At 41.7% G+C, this 23,717-nt stretch overlaps 2 protein-coding genes across 6 annotated transcripts in view, besides 4 other annotated features; one reads left to right on the plus strand and one right to left on the minus strand.

The window, feature by feature from the left end:
• Window positions 1,264-2,021: an enhancer, noted in NCBI's record as "H3K4me1 hESC enhancer chr9:125677135-125677892 (GRCh37/hg19 assembly coordinates)". NCBI's record gives its function as "activates a minimal SCP1, AML or CMV promoter by ChIP-STARR-seq in naive H9 embryonic stem cells {active_cell/tissue: H9 hESC(naive)}" and the evidence as "EXISTENCE:reporter gene assay evidence [ECO:0000049][PMID:30033119]".
• On the minus strand, window positions 1,974-17,920 carry ZBTB26 (zinc finger and BTB domain containing 26). Of its 3 annotated transcripts, none has more exons than NM_001304363.2 (2): window positions 17,849-17,920; window positions 1,974-6,352 (listed from the first exon to the last, which is right to left on the minus strand). In NM_001304363.2, exon 2 carries the CDS (start codon window positions 6,340-6,342, stop codon window positions 5,017-5,019), a length of 1,326 nt encoding a protein of 441 aa, NP_001291292.1. In that variant the 5' UTR covers window positions 6,343-6,352; window positions 17,849-17,920; the 3' UTR covers window positions 1,974-5,016. The 3 variants fall into 3 exon arrangements, with proteins under 3 accessions (NP_001291292.1, NP_065975.1, NP_001291293.1); NM_020924.4 differs by having other exon boundaries at window positions 17,845-17,920; NM_001304364.2 differs by lacking the exon at window positions 17,849-17,920 and adding an exon at window positions 17,472-17,673.
• Window positions 7,897-8,397: an enhancer, noted in NCBI's record as "H3K27ac hESC enhancer chr9:125683768-125684268 (GRCh37/hg19 assembly coordinates)". NCBI's record gives its function as "activates a minimal SCP1, AML or CMV promoter by ChIP-STARR-seq in naive H9 embryonic stem cells {active_cell/tissue: H9 hESC(naive)}" and the evidence as "EXISTENCE:reporter gene assay evidence [ECO:0000049][PMID:30033119]".
• Window positions 8,398-8,898: an enhancer, noted in NCBI's record as "H3K27ac hESC enhancer chr9:125684269-125684769 (GRCh37/hg19 assembly coordinates)". NCBI's record gives its function as "activates a minimal SCP1, AML or CMV promoter by ChIP-STARR-seq in naive H9 embryonic stem cells {active_cell/tissue: H9 hESC(naive)}" and the evidence as "EXISTENCE:reporter gene assay evidence [ECO:0000049][PMID:30033119]".
• Window positions 17,692-18,031: a silencer, noted in NCBI's record as "silent region_20244". NCBI's record gives its function as "represses an Ori minimal core promoter by ATAC-STARR-seq in GM12878 lymphoblastoid cells {active_cell/tissue: GM12878}" and the evidence as "EXISTENCE:reporter gene assay evidence [ECO:0000049][PMID:35858748]".
• The window catches only part of RABGAP1 (RAB GTPase activating protein 1), a 173,196-nt gene continuing 167,557 nt past the window's right edge, over window positions 18,079-23,717 (plus strand). Inside the window, exons 1-3 of one of the 3 annotated variants that reach the window (XM_047423130.1) lie at window positions 18,079-18,285; window positions 18,376-18,654; window positions 22,752-22,885. The gene's annotated coding sequence lies outside the window, so the exon portion shown is untranslated. The remainder of the gene's footprint in view (window positions 18,286-18,375; window positions 18,655-22,751; window positions 22,886-23,717) is intronic. The other 2 variants (XM_017014567.3, XM_017014569.2) reach the window with 2 other exon arrangements.

The following is a 23,717-nucleotide window of genomic DNA, read 5'->3' on the forward strand; positions in this document are numbered from 1 at the left end:
GCCTCCCGGGTTCAAGCGACTCTCGCTCCGCAGCCTCCCAAGTAGCTGAGATTACAGGCGCCCGCCACCACGCCCGGCTCATTTTTGTATTTTTAGTAGAGACGGGGTTTCACCATGTTGGCTAGGCTGGTATCGAACTCCTGACCTCAGGAGATCCGCCCGCCTCGGCCTCCCTAAATGCTGGGATTACCGGGTTGAGCCACCGCGCCCAGCCGAGCCATTTCCTTTTGTGAGTCCTCCTGAACATCCGAATTGGAGACGGGGTTTGAGGTTCGGTTACGGCACGTCTGTCAGAGTAACCAGACCTTTTATGGATTATTCTGGGACGATTCCTCTCCTTATTGGGGCCACCTACAACTTGAAAGGTGGCAGAGCAGAAACTATCATAAAGATCCGTATTCGAGATTGCCTAGATAATGCCCCATCAGGAGATGGCCCCAACCTCTGGATCTAGCTTCACACTTAAATGCGTTCCTCCATCCCAAAACTTTTGGCCCAGCTGTTTCCTCTGACGTGCCCTAGCCTTTTCCCCAGGCTTTTTTTTTTTTTTTTTGAGACGGAGTCTCTCTCTGTCGCCCAGGCTGGAGTGCAGCGGCAGGATCTCGGCTCACTGCAAGCTCCGCCTCCTGGGTTCACGCCATTCTCCTGCCTCAGCCTCCCGAGTAAGCTGGGACTTCAGGTGCCCGCCACTTCGCCTGGCTAATTTTTTTTTTTTTGTATTTTTAGTAGAGACGGGGTTTCACCGTGTTAGCCAGGATGGTCTCGATCTCCTGACCTCGTGATCCGCCCGCCTTGGCCTCCCAAAGTGCTGGGATTACAGGCGTGAGCCACCGAGCCCGGCCTTCCCCAACGTATCTTTAAAGAACCCGTTTATAAATCTCATCATCCTGAAGCCATCCTGAACTGCCCTAAGATAATTGGTTCCCAGTTTGAAACCTGTAATCCCTTTTCCTGCCTTCATTATTGCACTTAACACGCCTGTATTAATTTGTGCCTCATCTAGGCAGAGTTATTTAGGACAGTGGCTTACTGATCTTTGTATTCTCGAAGTCTAGCACTTGGTAGGCATCAAGTATTTGTGCTGAATGAAGATATGACTGAAGAAATTCTTTTTCTTTTTTTTTTGAGACAGAGTCTCACTCTGTGGTCCAGGCTGGAGTGCAGTGGCACGATCTCGGCCTACCGCAACCTCCGCCTAGCAGGTTCAAGCAATTCTCCTGCCTCAGCCTCCCGAGTAGCTGGGATTACAGGTGCCTGCCACCACACCCAGCTACTTTTTGTATTTTTGGTAGAGACGGGGTTTCACCATGTTGGCCAGGCCGGTCTCGAACTCCTGACCTCAGGTGATCCACCCGCCTTGGCCTCCCAAAGTGCTGGGATTACAGGCATGAGCCGCCGCGCCCGGCCTCTGCACCAATTCTATTCCTTTTTTTTTTTTTTTTTTTTTTTTTTTGAGACAAAGTCTCGCTCTGTCGCCCAGACTGGAGTGCAGTGGTGCGATCTTGGCTCACTGCAAGCTCCGCCTCTCGGGTTCACGCCATTCTCCTGCCTCAGCCTCCCGAGTAGCTGGGACTAATGCCCTGCCACCAGGCCCGGCTAATTTTTTGTATTTTTAGTAGAGACGGGGTTTCACCGTGTTAGCCAGGATGGTCTCGATCTCCTGACCTTGTGATCCACCCGCCTCGGCCTCCCAAAGTGCTGGGATTACAGGCGTGAGCCACCGCGCCCGGCCGCCTCTGAACCAATTCTTAAAGGCAGTTGCTCTGCTCCTCCAGCAACAGGTTCTCGTGGAAGTAAATGAATCTAGTAACAACTTTCTGATTAATTCGTATTTTTTTCTGAAGGCAAGCTCAGCATGCTTAATATGTATTTTTAAGACTATACATAAAGAAGACCTTCCTGTATTCAAAGTAAAGCAATTAAAAAAGAATAGAAGGAGGGGAGAGTGAGAAAATAACCAATGACACCAGAGCTTTAATCGTCACACTTTTATTAAGGAAACTTCCCCATAATAAGTGAAGAGGTAGTTCATAGTATGTCTAACATACAACAGATTTAGAACAGCTATTCATGAGCTGAAATAAAATCTTCTGGGTTGTTTAGGACAGTATTTTAGAAGCAGTGACATTGGTCACCTTCCATTTATAGATCTGCTAATAAAGAAACTTAAATTAAAATCATATCTGATTTACCTCAGAGCCACTTCAGTTTGGAGTTTAGTATTAAATAATAAATAAATAACTGACAGAGTAATTTTTTTTTAAACCAAACTATGGTAGAGAGTCATCTCCTTTTTAGTTCTCCTGGGGATCCATAAAATACAAATGCTGAATGATAAAGGTTTTAAAAATCTTCCTCCTCTACAGAAATATGACTAGTTTTGAAAGTCATCTTCCTCTGTAAAATACTGGATATCAGTAACTTGACTTCTTTGCAATATAATCTAACAAACACGTATAAGCAAAGAAGGAGGAAAGTGAAGTTCCACAAAAATTAGAAAAATGTCTCACAGAAACAGAACACCTCTCCAGCCAAAAATGGAGGAGACTGTAAATCACTTCAGTGGTTTGCATTTTCAAAAGGTGAGAACTAAATGTTTTACTGATACAAAAGCACAAAGTTGCTGATTTTAACTGATCGAATACAGCAAGGCAGCTTTCTTTATTATTTCTAGTATAAAAGCAAATTGAGACTTTGTTTCACTAAGACCACATGAGACTATAAGCTCCATGAGGGCAGGGACTATATCAATCTTACCTTCATTATCCTCAGTATCTAGCATAGTGTCTAGCAACAGTAGGTGCTTAACTAATGTTTCTTGAACAACTGAATGAACCCAGAAATAGTCTCCAACCAAAGAGACCAATCTTATTTGAACCCGTGCCTTTTAGTCTTCAAACCAGTAACAAAAACAAGACATGAATGTGAGCAAACGAAGCACTCCAACTTGAAATTTCCCTGTGAAGAAATGATGTTGACAGAAAATACCAAAAAATGCTGTTTGGTTGACAGGGTAGAGTCTCACTATTGCATAGAATTGGTACTCTTTGGCTGGATCATGTAAAAATCACAATGCTAGGAAGCATCATTAGACCATATAATGAGTGATGTTAGGCATAAGGTACCTATTAGTCTTACCACTCAACTGTATTATCATTTTAAATATTTGAACAAAAGACAAAAATCATACTTCACATCTGACTCACATGATGATAATTTACATATGATAACAATGATACATGTAAACGTATCAAATATAACAATTGAAGATCCCCTCTGACTATGCAAGCCTAATTTTTCAAATCTGCATGCACTCTCATAGCTCAAAAATAAAAACAGAAAATCCTGATGGAAACTAATAAACAGTTTTCCACACAAAATCAACTTCGCATTTAGATTCTTCTCACATTATTCTTGCTTTTTCCCTCCCTAAACAAACCTAGCAAATCACTCACTTGGATGGGAAGAATATAATATTCATCTAACTAAAAAATAATTAATATAAATCCCTCTGCGATATTTTGTTGGCAAAATTCAGGTTGTCTCAGAAAGCCAACAGGGAGACACAAAGGGGAAACACAAACTAGGAGCTTTTTGCTAATGCATTATTCTTCATGTACTAAATCTTTTAAAGCCAAGGGATAGCGAGAAGAAGGAAGAAGATGCTAGCTCATATTTAGTTATACCTTGGTCAATATTGGCCAGGCCACCTCTTCAGGCTTTGGATACCCCAATTTAAAATGAAAGAGGTGGAGTAAATGACCTCTTAAGATTCTCTAAGGACTCTACTAATACTATTACCTAAATCTAACTCATGGGTGAGAAACAAATAAGACTTAGAATTTTAGGTCTGAAGTACAACATGTGTTTTAGGAAAAAGAGCTGTTTTGTTTTTCCTTTTTGAAAATTAACTTTGTATTTGCAATCAAAGGCAGCAAGGTGGCACAGTGTACCTTTAAGAGGTATCTGAATACAGAAATTTGATTGCCCCTTCTGTGTCCAACCTAACTTTTATCATCCGTTTTAGAAATTAAGGTACATGAGGAAACGAAAATTCAGAGACTTTTATGGTGCACAGGACAAAACTCTGATGGCCAAACTCACCTTTCTGATGGCTAAACTCTGAAACAAAATTCAGAGACTCCCAAATAGCCTCTTTTTAGAGAGCCCACTATACTTTAGCACATTTTTAGCGTGCCTGGAGCAGTCCTGATCTCAAAAGCATCAACAAGTTACACATTAATTATAAGCATATGGCCTCTTATGGGACATGCTACCAGAGAAACCGCCCATGTAAGTGCTGTTGTATAAGTGTACTTCTATCCCTGTTGATTATGCTCCTCATGGTCATCCCTAACTATCTGCCTGCAGGTGTTCCTCAAGAGAGAGTACTCTGGTATATGTGAACAATTCAATGAGATGAAGTTGGGCTATGATACTGTTGAAAAGAGTACATAACAAACCAGCATACTTCTTTATAGCCAGCTCCAAGACAAGTACAAATGGTAGGAAGCAGATTCATTTATCAGACATGGAGGAATAATCAATAGGCAACCAGAAGTTCTATCACATTTTCAGGTCAATAGCAATATCACCTTATATCTCAGCCTATTTTCTACCAAAGAAAGATTATTCACTTCTCTTAGCATAGCATCTATTAGTGGAGAGTAGGTGACGTTATTAACTTGTTGGTACCTTCGGAATGTGCCTAGTGAAAAGCCTAAAACAGTGTCAGTCTAAGACATAAGTCAATGTTAGGTAGACAAAAGGAATTATTCCTTGGGAAAGGAAAACAGACTTTACAAGATAAATAACTCAAAACAGAAAATGGGAGAGGGCAAAAGTAAGGCAAATCCACTCCAAGTGGTAAGTTGCCTGGTCTATTAGTGCTTTGACTCACTCCCTACCACCTACACAGAGGCTTTGGAGAAGTCAAACTAGCAAAATCACTCCTAAAAAGACTAAGACTATTGCCACATTGTCAGTCAGTTCGAGTTGTGAGCATGAAGCCCCTACTCAATTCACACAAGTACTATCATTTCTTAAGTTCAGGACAGCTTGGGCCAGTTTACCTGCATCCAGGACCTGTGTTGCATCGGGTTGTGGCTGACACCCTTTAGAGTCTGTGACTGTTGTACATGCAAAAGAATCAAAATCCACTGTGAGGTCTTGTACATTTCTCTCATTGGCATTATCAAAGCTGTTTTTGCCATGCAGCTGTTTAAGGTGTTTCCTCAAAACTGGTTTATGTGCAAAAACCATATCACAATAGTTACATTTATGGGGCTTATCTCCACTGTGAAGGTTAAGATGATCCTGTAAGGAACACTTCTGAGAAAAGGTTTTCCCACAGATTTTACACTGGAAAGGTTTAATTCCGGCATGCACACGCATGTGTCGATGAAGGTTGCCTTTCTGAGTGAAAGTCTTGCCGCAGAGTAGACACATAAAGAGTTTGTGCATTTTTAAATGGTTGGCGTAGTTCTCCAGGTGACGAAACACCCTGGTACACTTTGGGCACTGGTGATGCCACTGTAGGCCTTTGTCTACACCTCGAATATTAGGGCCAAAGACATCTTTTGAGGCCATGATGATGTTATCACTGCCTGTATAAGAAAGGGCATAATTGTGGAGATGGTTTTGTTCTATTTCACTTACTCTGTTTTCCACAGTTGAATTTATCAGGGAGTGCTGGGGCTCTGATGAATGTAAAGCAGTGGGTTCAGAAGAAATAAACTGGTTCTGATCTTTTTTACTTCTAACCTCTGATACATCCCCAATAGATTCTACCTTAACAATCTGAATATCACTGTCCTCCATATCCATACTGTCTTCAGATGGATGAATACAAGGTGAGTCCTGCTTTGGGGAGCCTCTGGCATCTCCCTGCTGTTCTTTTGACTGGGGAGAAGCACTCTGTGGTTCACATCCCTCTTTACTATCCATTGGTTGTTTTGGCTTTATAAACTTCCACAGGGCCTGTGTGCACCGTTCTACAATGTGGCTCATCTGAAGAAAACTTGCAGCAGTCAAGTAATTTACCAGTTCCATCTCAGGGAATTCCAGCACACCACTATAACAGGATAAGAGCAATTGTCTCCCCACTTCGGAACTCTGTAATATGGAGATTTTCACCTCTCTGGAATCATTCAGTAAAAATTGGTCTCTTAAGAAGGGGGAACCTGCAGCAAACACAATTTTATGTCCCTGTACCTCAATATCATCTATGAGAACTGTAACATCACAAAATTTATTCTCTTCTCTTAATTTGTTCATTTTTTGTAACATTGAATCTCCATAATTTTCAAACTTGAAGTGAAGGAGATCTGATCTTTCAGACATTTTGGCAGACCTAAAGAACAGAAATGTAAAAAGGTTGAATTTAAGGAAACTCAGACAATTAAGAAAGCTGGATCTACCTTCCAAAAACAAATCTGTGTTGTCATATCTGTTTTGTATGTATCCAAATGAAATCTTCCTTGAAAGGGGAAGCCACTATAACAGGTTTCAAAGGCTGTTAAAAATTACACCTTACCAATATCAAGTGCCAATTGCACCTAAAGAGCAGACTTGTATTTGTGTAAATAGCTTGGCATTCGTTCAACTTTTAAAGATACTTATACGAGAATAGTGCTTGGGATAGTCCAAGAGTATCTTTTAACTTCTCAAATGAGAATTCTATCAGGTTTCTAAAGCAAACTAAAACATAACCCACACAAGTAAAGATGAAATAATTATCTTATTTTATATAAAACTGTGAACCTGCTTCTTCTAAGGCAAAAGCAATTGTCTCCCCACTTCAGAACTCTAATATGGAGATTTTCACCTCTCTGGAATCATTCAGTAAAAACTGGTCTCTGAAGAAGAGAGAACCTACAGCAAACATGGGTTCCTTTGCTCTTTTTCTTTGCTCTATATTTTAAACAACTGCACTGACACTGCTTGTCCAATTCCTGGCCAAGCCCTTTTCTGTTTAAATTGATATGAACTTATTCATACAAGTATTTCTGCAATAAAATGAAAGTCACAGAACTAACGGGACAATGTTTAGGCAAAGACAAAGTTCTTTGTCCTGTCCATTCTGGAAAAATCTAAACTCCGTTTTAAGGAACACTTCTTTATAAAGAAAATAAGATACTTGATGTAGAAAAACGACATGAGCTATATGGTGGGAATCTGAGTAGCGGTAACATAGATCGAATCAATCCCTATTAGATTTTGTTCTTTAAACTTTATCCCTATTTATCAATCATTAGTCATTATGTGGACTACTAGAACTGATTCATAAATGTTGCCTTGGCTTCCTGCTTATGTTCCCTCTAATACAGTTTTCATACCACCACATCTTTCAAAAACAGAGATCTGATTATACCCCACCCCTGCCTAAACTCCTTCAGTGACTTCCCGTTGTCTCCTGGATGAAGACTAACCTCTTGAATATAAACTGATTAATGAAACCCAATCATAATTAAGGTAAACACTGGAAAAACCCATTCAACAATGGAGAAGGTATCTTTCCCCAAACTGTCTGCATACTGATTCCTTTATATAGCAATTCCTTTGGTGAAAGTCTCCATGTTCTGATTCCATACTCTCATAAATGATTTTCTCATAACCTGGCTTCCCATTTGTCTCTCTCAAGGGAAAAGATAAATTTGCCATGCCAACACGATAATTCCAGTCCACTAGTCACTGTAAACTAATGACATAATGAATTGACATTCTCTTTATATACCAGTCTTCTATGAGATTGGTAGGTATGCTAGGTCTGTCTTTGAGATATAGCTCTATAATCTCAGTGCATCAAGAAATTCACTGAATTTTATGTATTAATCAACCCCTTAGTTCAGAGTCAGATGAGACAACCAGCTTCTCCTGGCCACATCTGGACCCCAAAGTCCAATCTTTATCATCTTAACTTCTGTAACAATGGATATCAGCTCCTGATGGCAGAGTCCAGGTTTTATTCTTATTCCTTAATGCCTGATACATAACAGCTCTCTCTTGGCTCCAGACCTAATGATACTTGTTTCCTTAGTTTAAAACACTACTTTCTAGGCTGGGCATGGTGGCTCACGCCTGTAATCCCAGCACTTCTGGAGGCCAAGGCAGGCGGATCACCTGAGGTCGGGAGTTCAAGACCAGCCTGACCAACTTGGAGAAACCCCATCTCTACTAAAAATACAAAATTAGCTGGGCGTAGTGGCACATGCCTGTAGTCCCAGCTACTCAGGAGGCTAAGGCTGGAGAATCACTTGAACCCGGGAGGCAGAGGTTGTGGTGAGTCAAGATTGCACCACTGCACTCCAGCCTGGGCAACAAGAGCAAAACTCCATCACAAAAACAAAAACCAAAACAAAAAACAAGCCAGGCATGGTGGCTCATGCCTGTTATCCCAGCACTTTGGGAGGCTGAGGTGGGTGGATCACGAGGTCAGGAGTTCGAGACTAGCCTGGCCAACATAGTGAAACCCTGTCCCTATGAAAAATACAAAAATTACCCAGGTGTGGTGGCACGTGCCTGTAGTCCCAGCTACTCAGGAGGCCAAGGCTGGAGAATCACTTGAACCTGGGAGGTGAAGGTTTCAGCGAGCCGAGATTGTGCCATTGCACTCCAGCCTGGGTGACAGAATGAGGCTCTGTCTAAAAAAACAAAGTAAAATAAAACAAACAAAAACACCACTTTCTAAACAATTGTGACTCCTTTATTTTCTCTGAGAGGCCCTTCCCTGACCGCTTAATAGAGTAGAATTGTCTCTTCTGGGCCCATTGCATACTTCTACTGTAACACTCAACACACTTTATTAAATACTTATTCCTTCCCATCCAAACTCCAAGTTTCATGGTATTAGGGGGAAGTATCTCCATCTAATGCTGGGAACTTGCATCTTCTAAGACAAAATATTCTTTACTTTTGCTTTGAATTATATTATACTTATTGCAGCTACATTGCTTGTCCCATTACTGGCCAAACCCTCTTCTGTTCAAATCAGTGTGTATTCCCATCGCCTAAGACTGCACTAAATACACAGCAAGTGCTCAGTTTGCATTAGTTGAACCTATCAGATTAGTTTGACAGTGGTAAGGAAGAACTGTTGTTAGGAAGACCAGCTTAGTGTCTGCAGAAGCATTGCAGGTCTGAGGCCATGATGGCCTAGAAAGAAATAAAAATGGGAATAAGACGAAAGGAAAAATAACAAAAGATATTTCAAAGAACTTGGTAACTGACTGGATATAGAGAATGAATAAAAGGAATGTGTAAAGATTCTACATTTAGGAGTTCATTTGAATGAGAATGGCATTGAAAGAAGGTGACCGGCCAGGCACAGTGGCTCACACCTGTGAGCACTTTGGGAGGCCAAGGCTGGTGGATCACGAGGTCAGGAGATCCAGACCATCCTGGCTAACACAGTGAAACCCCATCTCTACTAAAAACACAAAAAATTACCCGGCATGGTGGCGGGCGCCTATAGTTTCAGCTACTCGGGAGGCTGAGGCAGGATAATTGTTTGAACCCGGGAGGTGGAGGTTGCAGTGAGCCGAGATTGCGCCTCTGCACTCCAGCCTAGGCAACAGAGCAAGACTCCATCTCAAAAAAAAAAAAGAAAAAAAAAAAAGAAAGAGAGGTGAAATTTAGGAGGGGGAACTGGTGTGGCACCAATATAAGAAGAAGTAATAAGTATATTAATAAAAACACAAACAAAGCATAATCTTTCCCCTTGTATGACATTTTGAATGTACCGATAATCACAATAAATACAAAAACTGCATTGAGAGAGGAGCGATGTAGACAAGCAAATGAAACATCAGAGAAAAGACAGTGAGTATCAAACATGAAGGGAAAATGTAGAAGATATACAGGGAAAATGTCAGTAATTTAAAGCAGCAAAACTATTATCATTGGTCACTTTTAGCAACTGCAGTAGCTTAAAATACTCATTTTGGATTTGGAGTGATGAATGTTCCAATTTGTAACCAGAGTTGTAAAAATGACTGTTTCAAGTGGCCAAACAAAAGTGGCATTCTTTTTTAGCATTTAGCTGGTTTTGAAGGTGCCTATGAAACCCTCAGATCAGTATTTCCCTCCTCACACCCCAAAATAAGCATTCATTGGTTCTACCTATATTATGACAGTACTCACAATGCTTTAGACAACTATCCTCAGAGACAATTGTTCCTTGCTCTAAAGATGAAGAGCTGGAGTGTAGTTTCATTTAGTCATGTGTCATATGACAGTGTTTTGTTCAACAATGAACTGCATATACAATGATGGTCCCATAGAATATAATACCATATTTTTACTGTACCTCTTCTATATTTAGATACACAAACACCATTGTGTTACAATTGCCTACAGTATTCAGTATAGTAACATGTGGTACAGGTTTATAACCAAGGAGCAACAGGCTGTGTCATACAACCCAGGTGTGTAGTAGGCTATACCATCTAGGTTTGCATTAAGTATACTCCGTGATATTCACAAAATGATGAAATCACCTAACGACGCATTTCTCAAAACACATCACAGTTGTTAAGTGATGCATGACTGTGCTTCCTATCCATCAGTTCTCAAGAAAATTATCAACAACAGCAGCCAACCAGATAGTTCAGGGAAGTGTTTGCTTTGATCTGTCTGCTGTAGTCTAAGAATGTGAGCAAAATTTATTGGTTTCTTAAAGGATGTTTTCCCTAGGATGTGTCAGCCCACTCTATTGTCTCTCTCTGATAAATTCTTATTTCCAGGCCACACATCTTATCCCTTAATTGTTTCCTTTCACTAGTTTCTCTTTCCAATAGACTGTTAGTTATTTGAGGGCAATGACCAATGGTTTGTTATACTTTATACAGCTCATTTGACAAAAAACAGAAGAATAATGAGTTCTTAATGTTCCCCCATGAAATTATTACTAGGCTATGGTACAGATGCTCTTCATTATGATATCTTCTTTTGAGTGCCTAGGGAAAGCTTTCTTTCTAGGGTTTGTTACCAAAATAGTTTTGGCAATATAAAACCAAATTTCAACTTTCTTTTTTTTTTTTTTTTTTGAGACAAGGTCTCACTCTGTCATCTGTCACCCAGGCTAGAATGCAGTGGCGTAATCATAGCTCACTGCTGCCTTGGCACCAAGGCTCAAACAATCGTCCTGCCTCAGCCTCCTGAGTAGCCAGGACTACAGGTGCACACCACCACACCTAGCTAATGTTTTTATTTTTTGTAGAGGCAGGGTCTCGCTGTGTTGCCTAGGCTGGAGTGTAGTGGCGCAATCAAATCTCGCTGTAACCTAAAACTCCTGGGTTCAAGCAGTCTTCCCACAAGGCCTCCCAAAGTGCTAGGATTACAGGCATGAACCTGTTTTAAACACTTAAAAAAAATTTTTTTTGATAGTTAAAAAAAGTTTCTTATGAACCATCTTAATTTTATTTAAAAATAAGAGAAATGATACCTAATCTTCCTTGCTACATTTCAGGTATAGATGTTATACCTAAATTGACCCATTTAGGCCGAGCACAGTGGCTCATGCCTGTATTCCAGCACTTTGGGAGGCTGAAGTGGGCACACTGCTTGAGCTCAGGACTTTGAGATCAGCCTGGCCAACACGGTGAAACCCCGTCTCTACAAAAAATACAAAAATTAGCTGGGCGTGGTGTCATGCGCCTGTAGTCCCAGCTTCTTGGGAGGCTGAATGGGAGGATGGCTTGAGCCCACGAGGCAGACGTTGCAGTGAGCCATGATCATGCCACTGCACTCGTCTGGGTGAAAGAGCCAGATCCTATCACAATAAATAAATAAATAAATAAATAAATTGACCCATTTAATCGTGAAAATTTCTACAGGTAAGTATTACCATTATCCCACATTTTGTATATGACGAAACTAAGCTTAGAAAACATAAATAACTTGTAAACCCCAACGGAGGTTGAAAGTGTTAAGTGTTAGATCTGGAACTGGTGGTTTACACTGCATGATGCCAAAATCCAGGTATGAAACAACTAATCTAGGTACAATTTTTTTTTTCTTGTTTTGAGATGTAGTTTCACTCTTGTTGCCCAGGCTGGAGTGCAATGGCGTGATCTCGGCTTGCTGCAACCTCTGCCTCCTGGGTTCAAGTGATTCTCCTGCCTCAGCCTCCTGAGTAGCTGGGATTACAGGTGCCTGCCACCATGCCCAGCTAATTTTTTTTTTTTTTTTTTTTTGGAGACAGAGTTTCACTCTTGTCACCCAGGCTGAAGTGCAATGGGCTTGCCGCAACCTCCACCTCCCGGATTCAAGTGATTCTCCTGCCTCAGCCTCCCCAGTAGCTGGGATTACAGGCAGGCGCCACCACGCCTGGCTAATTTTGTATTTTTAGTAGAGACGGGGTTTCTTCATGTTGGTCAGGCTGGTCTCGAACTCCCGACCCGGGTGATTCACCTGCTTCGGCCTCCCAAAGTGGTGGGATTACAGGCATGAGCCACTGCGCCAGGCCTAATTTTTGGATTTTTAGTAGAGATGGAGTTTCACCATGTTGGCCAGGCTGGTCTTGAACTCCTGACCTCAGGTAATCTGTCTGCCTCAGCCTCCCAAAGTGTTGGGATTACAGGTGTGAGCCACTGCACCTGGCTGGTACAGTTTTATCTCAAGGATAATAATTGTGTAACTCGGCTAGGTGCGGTGGCTCACACCTGTAATCCCAGCACTTTGGGAGGCCGAGGTGGGCAGATCATGAGGTCAGGAGATCGAGACCACGGTGAAACCCCGTGTCTACTAAAACTACAAAAAAAAAAATTAGCCAGGAGTGGTGGCGGGCACCTGTAGTCCTAGCTACTCGGGAGGCTGAGGCAGGAGAATGGCGTGAACCCGGGAGGTGGAGCTTGCAGTGAGCTGAGATTGTGCCACTGCACTCCAGCCTGGGCGACAGAGCGAGACTCCGTCTCAAAAAAAAAAAAAAAAAAAATTGTGTAACTCTTCAGATTTCCTTCCTTACATTCAGTATCACAAACACAGGCCAAGAAAATTCATTGAGCTGCACACTTATGACTTGTATATTTTTGTTTTTGTTATGCTTCAAAAAAAGGTTTATGTTTAAAAACAAGTTATAACTTCAAGCCAAATTTGCATGAAATTAGAAGACTTAAATGGCAAGCATATATGTATTAGTCATATTCCTGATTGCATATTATGCCTTTATCCTTATTATACCTTTCTCATCTATTTTACTTTATATTATTTTCCATCTTTTGTGTATTTATCTTTGTGGACTGAAACTTAATGCCATTTGCAAATAAAGCAGACAATAAAAATTATGAATATATTTGATTTCACAATCCCCAACTGTAGGTAACTTCTAAGTATAGCAGTAATTACTCAAAATAATCATAAAAATCACTCAGATAATTCTAGGTTATAGTCAAGCTTCTTGTAACTGAAGGAAAGTAAAGAACTGATCAGGTAGATCAGAGACACAGTCATCATATTTTGTTGATTCTTTCCTCAGAATGATCACCAACTCCTCACTCCTCCATTCTTACATCATTGCCATAGTTCAGGTCTTTATTATCTATTGCCTCAGTTACTGAGATTAAATCTGAATACTGTTGAGTTTCTATTAGCAAGTTTTGAATGATATTTCTCAAACATCAATGTAATGGGAATATTCTCACTTCCTCTTCATTTATATTTATACAATCCTTCCACAATTATAACTAATTTGAAATTTTCCCTTTGTTCAAATGAGGATAGTAAAAAATGACTAATTACTGAATATTCCAGGTGGGACAATGTAAATTGCTATACTACAGGCAGTGAGAAAATAGTTTCTTTTCTCAAATGCTTCTAATAACTACTGGCAAGTAAAATTTTTCTATCTGTATAATAAATTCTTAAGCTAGGTATCAGTTTGCTTCCTCACCTGTCTCATAAAAGTGCCCTTATCTTTCAACTTACCACTCAAAACTACTTGGAAATCTTTGTCCCTCATTGACATGGTATGTTCTTTTTCTAAAGAGGCTGTATTATACTACAGCCTTTCTCTCTATAAACCTTAATCTTGTTCTTCTTTTAGGTAACTTTCATGACACGATACTCTCCAAGTTATCAAGCTTTTGTTTCAACTTTTAAGTAATATATACAGAATGTATTCTTCTTGAAAAATTTTTGAAGATTTTAGATGTAATTCCCCTTCTCAACTGCCTACCACTCAGTATTCAGTTTAAGTTTGATCCTTCCTGACTCTCCCTCCTTGCATTTTGTTTATTTATTTATATATTTATTTATTATTTTTTGAAACGGAGTCTTGCTCTGTTGCCCAGGCTTGAGTGCAGTGGTGCAATCTTGGCTCACTGCAACCTCCACCTCCGAGTTCAAGCAATTCTCCTGCCTCAGCCTCCTGAGTAGCTAGGATTACAGGCATGCACCACCAAGCCCGGATAATTTTTGCATTTTTAGTAGAGATGGGGTTTCACCATGTTGGCCAGGCTGTTCTTGAACTCCTGACCTCAAGTGATCCATCCGCCTCGGCCTCCCAATGTGCTGGGATTATAGGCATGAACCGCTGTGCCCGGCCCCTCCTGGCATTTTAAAAACAATACTTCTATATGTCTAGCCACAAAAGTATAACGTAATTAAGTTTCTTATACATAAACTATACATATTGTTTTGCAACTTACTTTTTTCACTCATTGTTTTTGAAAGCAATTTATGTTGATGAATATAGATTTAATTCTTCTTTTGATTTTTTTTCATTTTTTGAGACCAAGTCTCGCTCTGTTGCCCAGGCTGGAGTGCAGTGGTGTGATCTCGGCTCACCGCAACCTCAGCCTCCCAGGTTCAAGTGATTCTCATGCCTCAGCCTCCCACCTCCCAAAGTGCTGGGATTACAGGCGTGAGACACCACGCCCGGCCTAGTTCTTTTTTTTGAACTGTTATGTGGAAGTGGGCAAATTACTTAACTATTGAACTGTTTTCCACCATTGTTTTGCTGGTCTGTTCTTTGAGGCTTCACTAAATTGTATAAGGGTAAGTATCTCTTTCAAAGCTAAGTCTCCAATTTTTTGCTATTTTTTTCAAAAAGCCTGTCTTCTGTTTCTCAATGTTTTATTACCTCCCTATGTTAACAATCCCTAAATCCCAATCCCCATGGCCAAACTTAACCAAACTAAATCTCAATTCAAGGTACTCAAAAATACCTGTTCTAGGCTATTTCCCTATCACTTGAAATGCATGATGCCTGCACTCATGCACTGTCTAAACTTCAATAAGCCAAAAAAATTTCTTATGGAGAATGGCTTGGAGAAAAGTACAAGGAAGCATTTTAGTATGTGATTACTCTAAACAGATCAAGACAGAATGGCATGGGCCTGAAGAGAGACAACAATAATATGGATGGAGAGGGGAAACAGATTTGAGAGACATTTCCAACAAAGAACTGATGGGCTTGGTGACCAATGTGGGGAAAGGGTCAAGATGACTCCAAGATATTTGGTTTCTGTAACTGGATATCTTTGATGAATGTCATTCAGCAAAGCAGGGAATATTGGAGGGCATGATCATGAGTCTGGTCTTGAGCCAGAGAAGCCTGCATGACATCAAGGTGAGGATTCATGAGCTGGATGGATATGAAGAAAAGATCTGATTACAGATGGTAAGTGATAAATGAAAGCATGAAAGTGGAAGAAATTAACCTAAATGGGCAGAGAGTGGAAACGGACTTAGGAAGAAAGAAATAAAAAACATATCAAACATAAATCCTTTACTTACCTTCTTCTCAACCTGGGTCTCTTTCCAAGCCTCTCCATTCTTATCAATGAGCCTCTCTTTGCTTAAATGTTTCCCACTCCTTTGGCTCCTATATTCAGTCACTGCATAGAGCAGTGGGTAAAACCATGGACTCTGGAGCCGTATTTCCTAGGATCAAAACCCTGCTCAACTACTTTCTGTGTAAACTCAAACCACTCTGCTTCAATATTCCCATCTATCAATAGTAATTTATTTCATAGGGTTGTTATGGAAAATAAATGATTTAATTTTTTAAAGAGCTTAGAACAGTGTCTGGTATGTACCCTATAAGCATGTGTTAGGTATACAAATAAAGCCTGTCAATTTTCTTTGTGAAATGCTTTAAATGTGTCCTATCCTTATTCCCATTTAACACCAAACCAGCTGAGGTACCTAATATTTCATAGAGTATCACCTCATCACTGTACTAAATTGCTTTTTAAAAGGTCACTAATGACCTCTTCATAAAGAAATGCAATACTCTCCCCTCCCCCAAGTCTCCAGATGCTCTGCATGAATTGATCCAGTGGTCTCTCCTCGAAATTCCCTTCTCTTGATTTCTGGGTCTTCTTGCTTGCTGTAACCCTGCACTCCTACACTTTATTGCCTACTGCTGACTACTACTAGCTCCAATTCCTCTTTCTGCTTCATAAATGCAAGCATTACCCTCCCCCCCCAAATTTCCTTATTTTTCAAAATTCTCTTCCTGATGCCAGCTATTGCCATGGTTTCCACTTCTATGCTGATAACTCAAACTTTTACCTCTAGCTACAATGTTTAGGCTGAGCTAAAGATTTGCATTTCCAACTCCATGCTGGACAGCTCTATGTGTCTGTCTCATTAGACCTTTAATTCAACATGTCCAAAAAATGAATTCATAATCTACACTAAGCTTATGGCTTTATTTCTGATAATGGCATTACCATCCTTCAGCTCAGAGGTCTAAAACCTAAGAATTAGATTTGGTCCCTCACACTTCTTCAGCATTCAGTTAATTATGGAGTCTTGACATAATCATCTCCAGTATATTTGTCTCCTTACCAATGACACCATTATAACTTATTTCAGGAATTTTTTGCCTCTCACTAGGCTGATCCCATTACCCCTTCAAAAGAATCTCCGATAAGCGTTCCTAACTTTTAGCTAAATGTCTAAATGCAGTTAATAGAAAGTCCCTTCTCTATGGGCTTTCTACAGAACAAAATGATTTCCTGCAGTGCAAATCTGACCATATCAATATTCTGTTCCGAACTCTTCAAAAAACTACCCATCTCCTTTAGGATTACACCATTCACCATCTGGACCTCGGTCGACTTTCCCAGTCTCATATCCATTCTGTGCATAGGAGTCCCCCCATTTCCTCCTCTTCCCACACAAGTTATGCTCAGTCATTTCTCCACAGTATTGCAACTGTCTTCCCTGAAAAACTCTTCAACACTTTACTCTCTCCAAGTACAATTCAGACATCACTTTCTTTCTAAAGCCTTCTCAGCAACGGCCCCTTGAGCAATTAACACATATGTGACTGATACATACATACATATATATACACATAGGAGTACTTATTTGTTCAGATCTGGCTCCCAAACTTAATCCCGAAAACTGGAACAATATCTTGCCAATCTCCAGTGTCTGGTATAGCGCCAGTAATATAAAAGGTGCTGCGACCAGTGGCCAAATAGGGGAAAACCCCAGCAAAAGGGTAACCTAGCACTCACAGTGGTTCTCAAAGACTGGCACTGAATGCCTGGTCTTGGGCTGGCTCCCGAGGCTCGTTTTCTTAGGGCCTCACCTCTGGCACTTCTTATAAGATGCCAGAGTCAGGCCCCCAAGCCAACTGCTGGGCCCTCAGCTGGGGTCCTATGAGGCGGTCCCAGGGGCATCCTCAGGCTCCCCACTCCAGTCACAGGGAAGGGAAAGGGGCGGGGCGCAGCGTGGGCCGGGCCAAGGGCTCCTCAAGTCCCCAGGGGCCTAGGCCAGCCTCTCGGCTCCCATCCCAGTGCAGGTCCCGGTTGATCCAGGGCCCCAGGGGGGTTCCATTTTGAGACACCCCGCACCCCAGCCCGCCGCTCCGGCCGTCTCCGCACTTACAGACCCGGGGGAAGGCCGCCGTCAGGATCCGGCACCGCCAGGAGCTCCGGCCCCTCGGGGCTCCGGGAAGGGGGAGGGGCAAGGAACCCGAGCCAAAGGGGGACCCAACGGAACCGGAAGGGCAGCCCTGGCCGGACAAAGACAACTTCCAGGTCCCATGGTCCTCTCCGCCAATCGGAAGGCTCGGAGGACAACAGGGGCCCCGAGAGGGAATTTCTGCGTTGTGGGCGGGGCGCAGACGGAGGGCACCGTACTCTGGGCACTAGCTTCACTGCCTACTACCCCGAGGTGCCTTAGCTCGTAAGCGTCTGTGGCTCAGGCCCTGTGCGCCTCGCAGGGACCCGCTGCTCGGGACCCCCGTCTCAGCGGCTCTTCTGTAGCTGGGCCTAGACGGTCCGCTGCCTCCTTGGGCCTGAAGGGCTCCTCTGCACTTAAACTTTGGTAAGTCTTTTTAGCCTAGGGGTGTAGACTCGTCGCGCGGGAGCCCGAAGAGCAGAAAGCTCTCCCCTCACTTTTGGATGTGTTTTTCAGGGTTCTTGCCTTGGAGTTCTTCCTAGGGCAAACTCTTGCACTCCCATGGCTTCCGTTACCTACTTCATGCTGACCATTCACAACCCAGGCAGCTACATGGACGAGATCTCCAGCTGTCCTGATGTGAAAGTACCTTTTAATGATCTCAAGTTCATCTCATCTCCTATCCAGACCGGAAAACTTGAGGATCCTTCTAGAGTTCTTTTCCTTGCCAATCCAGTTTACTGGTTTTTGACCATTCTTTTCGTTTTTGGTGGTGGTGAGGGGCTTTTTATTGAGGTAAAACATGCGTAATGTTTATTACTTTAATCATTTGTAAGTGTAAAACTTGATGGTCTTGAACTCTGGAGTTAAAGTGATCCACCCTCCTCAGCCTCCCAAAGTGCTGGGATTACATGTGTGAGCCACTGCTCCCAGCCTTTCCCTCTTTTTAATGTAGTTATTTACAACTATACATTTCACTTTGATCACTGTTTTCACTACAGCTCATAAGTTTTTGTATGTTGTGTTATTTTCATTCATTTCTAAGTATTTTCTAATTTCCCTTTTGATTTCTTCTTCTTTTTTTTTCTTTTTTTTGAGATGGAGTTTCGCTCTTGTTGCCCAGGCTGGAGTGCAATGGTGTGATCTCGGCTCACCGCAACCTCCGCCTCCTGGGTTCAAGCGGTTCTCCTGCCTCCGTCTCTAAAGTAGCTGGGATTACAGGCATGCGCCACCACACCGGGCTAATTTGATATTTAGAGATATGGAGACGTGGTTTCTCCGTGTTGGTCAGGCTGGTGTCGAACTCCCGACCTCAGGTGATCCACCCGCCTTGGCCTCCCAAAGTGCTGGGATTACAGGTGTGAGCCACCGTGCCTGACCTTGATTTCTTCTTTGACCCAGTTGTTAAGAGTGTTGTTTAACTTTCAGATATTTGTGACTTTTCCAGTTTTCCTTCTGTTATTAATTTATAACTTCATCTGTGTGGTCCGAGAAGATACTTTGTATGATATCTATCTTGTAAAATATTATGAAACTTGAATTGTGGCATACAGTCTGGTGAATACCTCATGTGCTTTAGAGAAGAATGTGTATTCTGCTCTTGCTGGGTGGAATGTTCTGTATATGTCTTTTAAGTATAGCTGGTTTATTATGATGCTTAGTTCCTCTATTTCCTCACTTATCTTCTATCTGATTCTTCTCCCCGTTACTGAAAATGGGGTATTGTAGTCTCCCACTATTATTGTAGAACTGTTTATTTCTCCTTTTAATTCTGTCCATTTTTGCTTCATGTATTTTGAGAGTCTGTTCCTAGCGAGGTAAATGCCTATAATTTTTATATAATCTTGTTGTAATGAGCCTTTTATTAATATATAATGTCTTTGTCTCTTATAACCTTTTCAAATTTTAAAATCTATTTTGTCTAATGGTAGTATAACTACATCAGCTCTTTTTCAGTAACTATTTGCATGTTATATCTTTTTTCATTAAATTATTATTATTATTATTATTATTATTATTTGCGAGGGAGTCTCACTGTGTCACCCAGGCTGGAGTGCAGTGGTGCCATCTCAGCTCACTGCCACCTTCGCCTCCCGGGTTCAAGTGATTCTCCTGCCTCAGCTCTGGAGTAGCTGGGATTATGGGCGCCTGCCACCATGCCCAGCTACTTTTTGTAAATTATTATTATTTTCTGTGACAGAGTCTTGCTCTGTCGCCCAGGCTGAAGTGCAGTGGCAATCTCGGCTCACTGCAACCTCCACCTCCTGGGTTCAAGCCATTCTCCTGCCTCAGCCTCCCAAGTAGCTGGGATTACAGGTGCACGCCACCATGCCCAGTTAATTTTTGTATTTTTAGTAGAGATGGGGTTTTACCATGTTGGCCAGGCTGGTCTCAAACTCCTGACCTCCCACCTCGGCCTCCCAAAGTGCTGGGACTACAGGCGTGAGCCACTGTGTCCAGCCCTTTTTCCTTGAATTATTGAAAAAAAAATTTTTTTGTAGAGACCGCGCCTTGCTATGTTCCTCAGGCTGCTCTTGGACTCCTGGCCTCAAGCTATCTTTGGTCTCCCAAAGTACTGCGGTTGTAAGCCACTGTACCTGGCCCTTTTCCTAACCTTTTCTTTTCTTTTCTTTTTTTTTTTTTTGAGACAGAGTCTCGCTCTGTCACCCAGGCTGGAGTGCAGTGGCGTGATCTCGGCTCACTGCAAGCTCCGCCTCCCGGGTTCACGCCATTCTCCTGCCTCAGCCTCCCGAGTAGCTGGGACTACAGGTGCGTGCCACCACACCCGGCTAATTTTTTTGTATTTTTAGTAGAGACAGGGTTTCACCATGTTAGCTAGGATGGTCTCGATCTCCTGACCTCATGATCCGCCCACCTCAGCCTCCCAAAGTGCTGGGATTACAGGCGTGAGCCACCACGCCCGGCCTCTAACCTTTTATTTTCAATCTATTTGTGTCTTTGGATGTCAAGTGATTCTCTTGTAGACAGCATTTAGTTGGAGCATGTGGATTGTGTGTGTGTGTTTAAAATTAATTTTCCCTTTCTTTTTAAAAATTAAATATATTTTTAGAGACAGGGTCTCACTCTGTTGCCCAGGCTGGATTGTAGTGGCATGATCACAGCTCACTGAAGCTGGAACTCCTGAGCTCAAGTGGTCTTCTCGCCTCAGCCTCTCAAAGTAGCTGGGACTACAGGTGTGCAACACCACACTTGACGCCTTTATTTTATTTTATTTTATTTTATTTTTTGAGACAGAGTCTCACTCTGTTGCCCAGGCTGGAGTGCAGTGGCGCAGTCTTGGCTCACCGCAGTCTCTGTCTCATGGGTTGAAGCGATTCTCTTTCTCAGCCTCCAGAGTAGCTGGGACCACAGGCATGCGGTCCCATCAAGCAATCCGCCTGCGTTGACCTTCCAGAGTGCTGGGATTATAGGCATGAGCCACTGTGCCCGGACTTGACTCCTTTCTGTCTTTAGATTGGAGAGTTTAACCTTGACTCCTTTCTGTCTTTAGATTGGAGAGTTTAAACCATTTAGATTTAAAGTAATTATTGATAAGGTGGGATTTATATCTGTCACTTCTCTATTTGTGTTTTATATGCTTTTTAAATCTTCATTTCTGCCATTACTGCTTTTTTGTGTTAGTGTTAGTTGATTTTTTTATCATGAAACGTTTGATTCCCCTCTCATTTCCTTTTGTGTATATTCTATAGATATTTTATTGGTGGTTACCATAGGTATTACACTCAACATCCAAAAGTTATAACAATCTAATTTGAATTGATACCAATTAACTTCAATATCATACAAAAACTCTGCTCATGTAAAGCTCTGCCCTTTCCTTTCTGTTACTGATGTCACAGATAACATTTTATACATTGTATATCCAATAACATAATTTTTTTTTTTGAGACAGTCTCGCTCTGTCACCCAGGCTGGAGTGCAATGGTGCAATCTCAGCTCACTGCAACCTCTGCCTCCCGGGTTCAATTGATTCTCCTGCCTCAGCCTCCCGAGTAGCTGGGATTATAGGCACCCACCACCACGCCCAGCTAATTTGTTTCTATTCTTAGTAGAGATGGAGTTTCACCAATATTGGTCAGGCTGGTCTCAAACTTCTGACCTCAGGTGATCCACCCACCTCGGCCTCCCAAAATGCTGGGATTACAGACATGAGCCACCACGCCCAGACAACATAAATATTTTTTATGCATTTCACTTTTAAATCAGAGAAAATAAAAAGTGGAGTTACAAATCATAATTATAATAATTGCTTTTATAGTTGCCAGTGTATTTGACTTACTAGAGATCTTTGTTTCTCTGTATGGCTTTGAGTTACTATTGAGTGTACTTGCACTTCAAAATGTCGGTTTCTCTTTAGCATTTCTTGAAGGGCAGGAATGCTGGTGGTAACGAACTCCCTTGGCTTGTCTTTATCAGGGAATGTCTTAACTTCACCCTCATTTTTGAAGAACAATTTTGCCAGATATAGATTTTTCCATGACAGTTTTTTTTTTCTTTCTTTCGAGCCTCTGAGGATTCTTTATTGGGTGATAATCTTATTGCAATCCTTTGTATGGGACAAGTTGCTCATCTCTGGCTGCTTTCAGGATTCTCTTTTTTTTTGGCTTTTCACAGCTTAATTATAATATATTTGGTGGTTTCTTAGTATTTCCTATCAGGAGTCTGATAAGCTTCTTGGATTTGTATATCATGTTGTTAATAGAGTTTGGAGAGTTTTGACCATGATTTCTTGCAATATTATTTCTGCCCTTTCTTCTCCTTTGGAACTCCCACAATTCATTATGTTTGTCCTACTGATGGTATCCCACAGGGTCCCTTAGGCTTTATTTACTGTTCACTTTTCTTCATTCTTTTTTCTTCCTATTCTTCAGATGGAGTAGGAGTCAAAAGGAATCCACCTCTCCACCTAGACAACAGTTCTACCAGCAGCAACTCTCTGAAGTAACTATGTTGGAACTCTGGAGTCTATTCGAATGCTTACATCTTCCAAGGGAAAGCTGGGCTGGTAAATAGAGGTTAATTTCAGTCTCTGTCAGCTTTAGTGTGATACCAGCTACTCATGCAGTGTTACTTAACCCTGTAGCACGCAGCTGTATCCACATTCCTGGTGCGGCTTGCTGGAGGCTGGGTGGGCGATACGAACTTTGTCCTCCAAATACTGGCTGTCGACACTCTGGTTGTTGATGACTGAAGTGCAGGTGCAGAGGCAGGTTGCCACTGTTTTGACCCCCCACCAGCTGAACCTCTTTCCAAGGGTTTTAAAAGAATAGCACCTGTTTTGTTTGTTTGCTTCCCTTTTACTCCATTTATGAGTCAGATATTGAAGGATTAGGATATTCAAAAGCAATCACTTAGGCAGGGGAAAGTAGAAAGCTACTGCATATAACCAGGGAAAGACACAGGCTAAGAAAAGACCTGAGAAAACCTTAAGCTTTCACCCGAGGCTGATCCTGATCCCCAGCACAGAGACAATTACAAAAGCCCAGCAAACATGGGGGCAGGAGAATCTTATTTTCAGATTCACCACATTATGAGATTCAAATGTTCAATTTTCAACAACAACAAATCATAAGGATTTAAAGTGAAGCCAAATGTGGTGGCATGTGGTTGTAGTCCCACTTAATTGGTTGTTACTGGGCAACATAGTGAGACCCCATCTCTAGTTGAAAAATAAAATTTTTAAAAAAATCACAAGACATACAAATAAACAGGAAAGTATGGTCAATTCAGAAGAACAAAATAAATCAACTCAAACTATTCCCACAGAAGCCAAGATAGATGTCTGAGTTAATAGACAAAGGCTTTAAAACAACTATTTTGAAGTCGTTCGAAGAACT

This window comes from Homo sapiens, chromosome 9, assembly GCF_000001405.40.
Source record: "Homo sapiens chromosome 9, GRCh38.p14 Primary Assembly".
Classification (NCBI taxonomy): domain Eukaryota; kingdom Metazoa; phylum Chordata; class Mammalia; order Primates; family Hominidae; genus Homo; species Homo sapiens.

What these genes read in the sequence shown, in the direction of transcription:
- ZBTB26 (NM_001304363.2), bottom strand. Translation starts at nt 6,342, where the DNA reads ATGTCTGAAAGATCAGATCTCCTTCACTTCAAGTTTGAAAATTATGGA.